At 38.1% G+C, this 10,419-nt stretch overlaps 1 long non-coding RNA gene and 1 pseudogene across 1 annotated transcript in view; both read right to left on the minus strand.

The window, feature by feature from the left end:
* The window catches only part of LOC124906270 (uncharacterized), a 35,110-nt gene extending 24,691 nt beyond the window's left edge, over window positions 1–10,419 (minus strand). Inside the window, exons 1-2 of the long non-coding RNA XR_007096022.1 lie at window positions 8,630–10,419; window positions 1–8,271 (exon numbers count right to left, since the gene is read on the minus strand). The exon at window positions 1–8,271 is cut by the window's left edge and continues 24,691 nt beyond it. This is a non-coding gene — a long non-coding RNA (uncharacterized LOC124906270). The remainder of the gene's footprint in view (window positions 8,272–8,629) is intronic.
* Window positions 7,211–8,153, minus strand: DRG1P2 (DRG1 pseudogene 2; annotated as a pseudogene).

Below are 10,419 nucleotides of genomic sequence, written 5' to 3' on the forward strand. Positions count from 1 at the left end.
TCTGCATTTCCAGAGGAGAGAAAGAGGGATACATATATATATATCCACACATATATATATATATCTCCATATATATATATACACACACACACACACACACACACATATATACTTCCACACACTCACCTTCAGTTAGAGACAGAAGACTGTGATCAATAGACTATAGAGGAGTTTGAATAGACTCTAAGAAAAGGCATTATGGGCAAACTTGCAAACAATTCAAGACATCTGGCCACTTTAGTCGAGGGGAGCCTAGCTCTTTTCCTACAGTATTCCTTCCTTCCGAATTTCCTTCCTTTACTTCAAACAAGGAGAAAAATCGTATAGATTAAAAGAAGTTCACTCATACATTAAATATTTGGTTTGGTGGCATTAGGCACCCATGAATGAATTATTTGGCTTGTTCATTTACCCTTTCTATAAGACCAAGATAAGGACACTTCAGGATGCCCGTAATCAGTAGCTGAAGAATGAGAAATGGAACCGTAAGCTTACAGTAGGAGATAATGAAGATAATAAAGATGATGATGATATAACCGATAATAAAATTTATCAAATACCATCTGTCAGGCATTGTTCTAAAAGCTCTGCACGTACAGATCTAAACAACCTTTTAACACAAGCATACACACAGAAAGAGGTGATATTCAAAACTATGCTTACTTGAATCCAGGGAACCCATTCTTTACATTTCATCTTGTTTCTGACATCACCAGTTTTCAATACAGAATAAGTGGCTGAGGTACAGTTCTAGACTTAGACAACCAAAGTTCACACTGTAGCTCTGGGGTTCACTGTTTAAACTTGGACAATTCTCCAACCTCTCTAGTACTCTATTTTCATCTTACAAAAGAAAACATTAATATTTATTTTGCAGGGTTTTATGAAATTTATATTTATCACCTAATAGATCTTGACACAAAATGTCAGGGTTGGGTGCTCAAATTTTTAATTTTCACCTAGTACCTACATCTTAATTTCTAACACTATTCTCCAATAACAGGAACTAGTGTTCCTTGAAGAAATGGTTCATTCTAGGACTCGGGCAGGAAATATTCCAGGTCAGCTTGGAACAACTTATAGTGTCGGAAAGAAAGAAACAACCAAACAAATCAAAATCCTACAATGATGGGAAAGAGAAACGGGATATAATTAAAGAGAAACAGGATACAATTAAAAGAGCTTCCAATAGCCAAAGCTGTACAATTTAAGCAGCAAAATAAAGTAGTATTGGATTATAACCCAAAACATAAAATAAGAATCTATGAGTCTATATTGCTATGAATAAATTTTAAATAAACAAATAAAGAGAACAGACACATTTCTTGCTTAGAAAAAATACAGAAAATTTATGTATATACCCCACTTTCAAGGAGGTACAGCATAACTTTCCATTCCTTAAGTGCGGGTTGCATATTGTGACTTCTTTTGAGTAAAGTATTGAAAGGGGGAAAAACAGTAACTTTACACTGGAGAAACCAGATAAACACTTTCCCAGCCAAGGGATCTGCTCAACATCAACAGTGATAAGTTATATTGATAATAGGTACCCTTGACATAATGTGATAAAATGGCACCTCACCTCTTTGGTTTTCTTCCCTCAAATCCATAATGCCAATCTATGAGAAAAATAACACGCACATTCCAATAGAGAAACATTCAACAAAATACCTGAGCATTATTCCTCAAAACTGTCAAGGTCATCAGAAACAAGGAAAGTCTGAGAAATTGTGACAGTCTAGAGGAACCTAAGGAGACATGATTATGTAATTTGGTATCCAGATGAGATCCCAGAACAGAAAAGTTATATTTTGTAAAAAGTAAGGAAACATGAATAAACTATGGACTTTAGTTAATAATAGTGTGTCAAAATTGGTTTATTAATTGTAACAAATATACCATACTAATGTAAGATGGTAATAGAGGAAAATGGGTAAGACATGAGGAATTCTCTGCACTAATTTTTGGCATTTATATAGATCTAAAATGATTCCAAAATAATCGTAAAGTTAATTTTTAAAAATGTTGAATGCCTTTCATTCTTTTATAACCATTGATGGATAATTCTGAATGCAAGGGAAGTGCAGCAGAGATTCTGAATTTAGGCAGCAATGGTTATTGAGTATTGAAAGTAGCCTTCACTATTGACTTACATTTCCTCTTCACTTCCTAGGATCTATAACAGGATTGTGTAAAGGAACCTCAGCCAAAACAATGATCTCTCTTTGACACTGAGCCGGGGAGTCCAACGGTGACGGGCTGGGGTTAAGAAAGGTTTCCAAGGAGCTGAAATTGAGGAAATGCGTTTTGCTAAGTACGCTGTGCTCTGGACACAGGTTGCTTAGTTGACTGCAGAGATGTTATTTTAATTTTCTCAAACAGGAATGATGGAGCCTCACCTCATACTCATTAAGGTTCTGGGCTACCCGTGGACAGCTTCTGTACAGAGGGATTGCCTGACAGAGTGGGCAAGGTTAAAAGAGAGACTGCAGGAGATCTGGAGGGGGAACAAGGGAAATGTGACAGCTGAGGAAGAGAAGGAGACTGATTCTCTATGTAAGCAACAACAACAAAAATCTCAGTTCAGGGACAGCTCTGAGCTGGGGTCCTGGTAACAGCCTTGTGCATTTTCAATTCCCTCATTTCTAGGTCCCTGTATCAGCAATAGATAGAATATGGTCTGTGACCGCCAGGCAATCAGAAAACTGCCAAGTCAAGAAAACCCGGTGGAGTGAAATGATGTGGTAATTCCAGTTAGCTGAAGGAAGAGACTTGCTCACAGAGTCGGGGAGGAGTGAGCTAGACACATGATAGCTCTTTTCAACTGAAAGGTGTATTTACAAGCCTGAAATGAGCACCTTTCAACCCTGGGCCTCCTCCCACTCCCACTTTTGGAGCTATGAGTAGGGGAAACCCATATATTATATCTCAGGCATGTGAGCTGACTGTGAAAAGGGCAGGGCTGATTTACTTCCATTGTGTGGAACACAAGCTCTGCTGGCATCTGTCGTTCATTGCAAAAGCTGAGCTTTCAGATGTTAAGGCTGCACCTCACAGAAGTTATGCTAACTGCTTAGAGATGATTGTTTCCTTCAAAGATAGACTAGATTGTACGCTCTATCTCTCATACCCACTCCATCAGCTCAGCTATGAGAACAGTCTCCTATGACTCTGCTTGTACCCAGTACGGCCCATTTGCTCAGAAAGCTACAGCTTTCCTCTGACATTAAATTTCTTCCACTTCCTCAACTGACTCTGTAGCTCCTTGATCCGCCGTCAGGCCCTCCATTGTCATCTCTCCAATCAATTCACTGTTTCTAAAACATACCGAACTCATTCTCACCTCAGTGTTCTGGTATTCCTGCAACTTGGAACATAATTCACTTCTCCCTCCCTGCACACTTCTTCAGGCTCAGCTCAATTTCAGCCTTCATGGATTCTTAGCCTGATTCTCATTTTGATTTCTATCAAGCATCATTTGGTCACAATCTTATTATTTTTAATTATTTTGCAAGGGATTTTAATTATTTATATCTCATCTCATTATAAAAAATTGTGGTAGTTTCATGTTTTCATTTTCTTTCTCAGTTAAATGTTAAGTTTCTTGAGGGACACAAACTATGTCTGTGTTTCATTACTACCTTCAAAAACTGACTAGTCGACAGCACAAGGTATGATACCACTTGTGGAAACGTGAGAAGGTTCTGGAGTCAACCTACACAGGTTCTAAAACTGATTTAGACCTTTCTAAGGACCTACCTCATCATGTTGCTGGGAGGAATACATGAAATGTCACATCAGGCACTTACAACAGTGCCAGGCACAAAGCAAGAATTCATTAAGTGGCAGCTGTTGTGGTTTGTGTTGTGTTTTTATTGTTATTGCCTTATCATTCTCATGTCCAATAACAGATCTGGTCAAGAATGCATTCCAGATCTTTCTTCTCTCTTAGGTCCTTTCTAATCCTTTCATGGATCATGGCTTCCCATGGCTATTTTGTCGGAGAAACATTTCATCGTAGTCATCAGACCATTCTACCTTTTCTCACTCTCCTGTTTTGGAAAATAATTTCTTCTAGCAACTTTGTTGGGGTTTTCCATCATTTTCCAAGGCAAAGAAACATTGGCACCAGAAAGGTGCTCTCTGCAATGGGGTGGAGCAATTCATCCAGGCTTTCCCAGGGCCTGGCTAGGTGAAGATTCTTCAACCCATCCAGCTGCTGACTGGGCTTTACAAGCCACCTGATGTTTGGAAAGAGGTAGACTCATGCAACTGGATGGTGGGAAAGACTGTTGACACTGCCAATGAACATCCTGACATTCTGAGTTGCAAAAAAATGCCAGAAGCAATCTCATACTGCCTGTAGTTATCTCAAACACACCTATTAGGCCACCCAGCCCTCCTCTGGATATACAAATTGCAGTTATTGCTCAGAAACCTTTGGAGCGTCCATTGCAAACCCAAGTCTTAGGTGCCTTCCTGCCAGCTATCCTTTTAGTATCTGTCATCTGGCAAGGTAGTGTTTATCTGGTTACTGTGTTACTAAAGTGGACACTAGCTATTTCTCCCTAGCTGAGCAAGACTAAGCTCTAAAATGTTAAATACCAGTCATTCAGTGTCTGACACAGTCAAGTATGGGGCCTTATATTATCATCAACACTCTATTGCTCAAATCTTTGGTCATTCCCCAGTTTTTCTTCTTTTCCTTTTCATTCCAGCTTTCATTCCCCTGTCAGACAGGTCTGAAAACATCCAGACCCGAGACTAGCCCTCCAGGAATACATGAGCAGCAAGGCCATCTGGAAAGGCTAGCTCACTCCTTTCTCATTCGCTCTCACTCACCCCTCCCTCGGCCCATGCTTTACCCCCAGTGGATTGTGTGGGAATCCTGGCAAGGTCACACTGCTTGGTTCTGCTGTCAGTTTAAATTATGTCTCAGCTTTTATATCTAAATCAAAATACAAGAGAATAAGAAATGAGAGAGAGAGAGAGGAAGAGGCAGCAAAAAGACATGGCAACAACCTACAGCGAGTGGAGAAATGACATTTCAATTGGCTAATTGATCTGTTCCCTTGACAGCTGCCCCTCCTCACTCACCCCAAGTCATTATTTAACAAACTTTGAGCCCACTCCAAGTCATATGTGGATGGAATGTACACCTCCTTCAGGAAGGTAGGGGAATAAAATATTTTCTGCAATGACAAAAAAAGAACACTAATTTAAGATGATTTTATTTGCTTGATTATTTATGTTAAAATTAAGCCCCTTATTCTCAGAACTTATGAATGTAGTGAATATCATTTTCCTATGTTCTCATAGAATATAGTGTACACTATAGCGTGCCTATATTTGTTTTCAGTTTAGCAATTACCAAGACAAGATTTAAAACTATATTTCACTACTGACTGTGTCTAAATAACATTTTCGTGAAGCCAAGGATAAAAAATGCCGATTTAGTGCCTATGATATTTCTCCTTTGGTGCTAACATTTTATATACACCTATCCAACAAAAGAATGATTATTTTTGTATTACAGCGAGTTGATTTGGAGCCTTTAACTGAAAATCAACTATCAAGGGTTCTCCAAGACATCTGTCTTTTAAACTTTTATAACTTCAAAATATGATTATGAGAAGAGTGGACAAAATTGGGGGTAAAAACTGTAAAGTACTATGCAATGATGAGATAGCACTGCATTTAAACATGGCCTGAACCTGTATTTCATTGATGATATCACCATGTTATTTAAAGTGTTATAGCTTTTCTTATTAATTCTGACATTGCCCTCCACCAATAGAATAGTCTACTAGGTTTGTATACTTTCTTCGGTTTATTTTAGATTGAAAACATTTTTTAGTATTTATTAGTGGGCTACATTTTTTATTGTTTATCCTGGATTTGTGTTTGGTTTATTCTGATCCAGTCATGACACATACCAGCATTTTTAAAAAAGAATTTACTTTGAGATCAGTAAACAAACATTAAATGACACTGACTGGCTTAAAATAGTTTATCATTAAAATTTTTTTAGTCAGAAGTACCAATTCCATTACCATTCCACTACTATGTGATCATTAATTGACCAGTTTGTAAATTTCTCTCAGCCTGTTGTTGTAGACTTTTTTATTCATATGCAAAATGAAGTTAATACTTGACTCAGATATTTCTCAAAGTTTTAATGAAGGCTCAAAGTGCACTAATGTGGCATTTCTTTTTAATTGTAAAGCATTATATGATTGTAACGTAAGACTCTAATGATGAATTTGATTTTATTAGCACCATGCACTGACCATCTATACTAATAGGCACCTTTGGTCTCAAATTCCACAAAGACAACTCCCTTCATTAAGTAGAGAAAAATAACTGAATACTTCAACTGATTCAATAAATTCTTGAATTATGTTCAATCAAACGGTCAGTGGTTAGAAACAGCCTTGTGGTACTGTAGAAATGGAACAGTTTGGTTTTACGTTGAAAATCCTCTTTGGGGTAATAGGTTACAAGTGGTTGGTTATGACAATTCCCCACTAGAGCAGTAACAATAGAAGAATGCTATTAATCTTGCTTCCCCATGTGCCAACAGCAGGAGAAATGCTGACTTCACATCCACACATCTACTACCCCCATTATGGGCTGTAACAATGAAATAGTCACTTGCCAGATTGTGTACCAAAACCTCTCAGGAGCACTATAGTTTAGCCCTCTTTGTCTCACTGAGACTGAACTATATTTACTATTTATAATGATTAGGTGGCAAAATACAGATCTCTTTGTCTATGTTGAGTACCAGAATACTACTATTTATTCATTCAAACGTAATGTTACATTTTTCTTTGGTTTATTGCAATCAGTCTTTATATTTTGCTGATTTCAAATGGTTTAGAGTAAAAGGCTGTATCATAAGTTGCTTATGTTGTCTAACTCATTGCCTAGTTAGGAGAAAAGAGGAAAGACACTCCAAGAATTGAAAATATTTTACATAGAAACTTAGTTGGTGATGTACTTATTTATGTAATACAACTACTTTTTTGGCCACATAAAAAAGCAGGTCTTTTATGCAATTCAGCATTCAAGGGTTGGTTAAAGTGGAGAAAAATAAAGTTACGAGCCTTGATTTCTTCCTCTATGTCCTGGGCCAGCAGCTGTCAAAGCCAAGACAGGGCTTGGGGCAGGGGACATGGTCACTGCATAGAAGCCACTGGTTTTTTGGTTTTGTTTCTGTTTTTGCTTTGTTTCGTTTGTGAACCTTCATTAATATTTTTATCCACTGTGACCTTCAATCAGAGAGCACTACTAGAGAGGTACAGTTTTGTGGTTGGCCTTTGGGATTGGTGTAAACCTTTACCAGTGACAGATCCTCTCCAATGCATTGCTTGGGAGTAGAGATAAGTCTCTGATGAGTCACTGTATGGACAATGTCCAGCTTATTTGTGGATATATGCTCAATCTGATTTCGCCCAGACACAGAGAAAACTACCGCATTTTCTTTGACCACGCCAATGAGGCCATTAGCTGTGGCATCACTCTGCAAAGCCACTTGAGCACTGTGGCTCTTGTCTCTGACCAGGAGGTTCCTTTGCAGTCTCAGCATCCAGCCTCTTCTAAAGGTCAGCAGCTGTGAGACCAATGGTTTTCTCAAGGCTTTTTAAAGCCTGTGTGGTGGTTCTGCTATTCAAACAGATGCCAGCAACTCCCAGCTCATTTTCAGCAATATTTTGTGGTTCTAAGAGTTTTCGTTCATTCAGAATAATGAGGATGAAGTTTCAGATTAGGGGTCCAATTTTCCCATTGTTGGTATCCTCCATAATACTTAGGAGAACCAGATGCTGGAATTAGTGCCTTTGTTTCTGCTGATGCTGACATGGCAGTCATATTGGTGAACTCATAAGGTGTCTCCTCCAGGTATAACCCAGCCAAGTTTCTGAGATCCACTGACTTACCCACAGATGGAAAAGCCACGGACCCAATATAAGCATCACCAGTCCTGTCAAATGAAAGCCTCTTGGCCTACCAACAGCACTGCATATTGAGGTGATAAGACTCATGGAGGGTTAACAAGATGAGTGTAAGCTCTAAAGAACTGTGGCCTCTTTCTATTGTGGTGAAGTCATCTTAACTCAGATCTAGGCAATCCCAGCTAAGTAGCTGCCCATTGTGATGAGCTCCCAGTTGCCTCCATGGGGGAGGTCTTCCCACACACACATGCACGAGACAGATCCTGCTCTGGTCGGGCCTAGAGCTTGTACGGTTTCTTGTATAATTTTAGGAGCCCTATTTAAGAAATGAATACAAATAGATATAAGAAAACACAGAAGTCTTAACCAACTATAGCTTAATTATTATGCTTTTGTAAATTTTGCAAAATTATGTAATGATGAAAACCTATGCTAGGCCCTTCTCAGGGCATTGGCAGGGGCACCATGCAGAAGAGGGTATGTGAAGCCTAAGCTTCATTAGCCTTAACGCAAACTAGCTTCTAAGTGCATTTTTTGAACTTAAATACTTTTGAAAAAAAAAGACTTATCCAAACATGAAAATATATCAGATAAAGAACCAAGTGACTATATAAATCATGTATTGAACTACGATTTTCAGTATTTGATTAAACAGTTCAATTTTTATTGTGTACCTGTAATATATGCTGGCTGGGCTCTGCTTTGAGGAAAGTTCATAGATGTATAAGGATTACCCTTTGCCCATGAAGAGTTCAAAGTCTCAGGGTGGATTCAAGCATAATTCTAAATCACAGGATGATCAAGTATAAAGTTCTGTTAAATCTATTCCTTTGACATAGGTTATCTATGAAGATTTCTCTTAAGGGGTAGACTCTGAAGTGGACTTTCAATGGCAAACAGTTCTTGCAAGCACATGTGGGAAGAACAGCTTTTAGGCAAGGTCCTGAAAATCCAAAGCTTTGAAGCCAGAGATGTGGGGCATGTTTGGGAAATTAGCTGGTATGGGCAGAGCTTAAGATCCAAGGATGCAAAGCAAAGAGAGACGAAGAGAAATGTTTGCAATGGAGAATAAGAAAGGAAAGATTAATTAGCTCTGAACTTTGGAGAACTTGGATATGCAAACATAGGAATGTATTATCGTTCTTTTTTCTTTCCTGTGTGCCATAGGAAATCTGCAGAGTTTGCTTGAACAAGGAGTAGGCATGAACGCATGTACAAATCGGGCAGCATTTCTGCATGAGGGTAGTAGTGATAAGGAAGTTGAAGTTGTTGCGGTGGTTCCGGTGATAGGTGTGAGGGCGTCTCCAAGGATATGACTGTGGGAATGGAAAGAAAAGGACATATGTGAGTTGCAGAGAACGGAGCTAAAGGTAGAGGCTTAGCTAGATGAGGGGATATAGGCAGAGAAGAGAGGAAAATGTAAAATAAAACTAAAGTTTAAAACTGAAGAATATAGTCATGTTCTTAACTGAGATGAAGATTACTAAGGAAGGAACACAGTTAGGAAGTGAAGGAGAAGGAAAATAGGTGGGACTTATATTAGGCACTCATAAGACATACATGTGTGACATCCATCCCAGCAGACATTTGAAGAAACCATTAACTCTACACTCAGTTGCAAAAAACACAGCCATTCTCTTCAAACTGAACTAGTTTGGTTCCTCTCTTGGACTCTTAGGTCCTTCTCCTACCATGGTTTCTAACATTCTCCAACTAATGAGATGGCTTCCTCACCCCTTGGAATAATCCTGCTCAGTCAACATCTTCCTCGTGGATTATCCCCGAAGTATTCCAATCGCAAATTTGCATTATATTACAATGCTTTGATGTTCATGTCCACTTGTTACTGCTCTCACGTCTTTGCAGATTACTCTAAAACTCTTATTAGAATAAGATATAAGCTTTTTTTTCAGAGCAGGGAGCCAGATTCAATATTATAGTATCCCTCTACAGTAATCAATTTAGAGTTCTTGGCAAAGAGTAGACGCTTAATCACAATAATCATTAGCATAAAAGGTAATCTTTATTGGGCACCTAGTTTCTGCCAAGTACTGTAACATATACTATATCTTATCTAACGAAAAACCTACAAAAGAAGTAGGCTTTTATTTTTATTTGGATGAGACAAGTAAAGATAAAAGAGATTAGAAACTTCCCCAAACCACTCTAGTAGTGTTAGGTTCCAACCCAAATTCATTCTGCTCCAAAGCTCACCAATCTTTTCACAAAGACAAGAATATTATACATGTAATGTTTTCCACTTAATCCTATACTGAACACAATTTAATTTTTCCTAATAGGAGGATAAAGATCTTATATATACAATCATTATTTTGTTCCTTGGCTGTACTGAAATATTTATTTTTGACATTGATTTAGGCATTAAACTCTGTTTAACAATATATTTTCATATATATATATATATGTGTATATATATATATTTTTTTCTGAGATGGAGTCTCAC

Source organism: Homo sapiens, chromosome 3, assembly GCF_000001405.40.
Source record: "Homo sapiens chromosome 3, GRCh38.p14 Primary Assembly".
Lineage (NCBI taxonomy): Eukaryota > Metazoa > Chordata > Mammalia > Primates > Hominidae > Homo > Homo sapiens.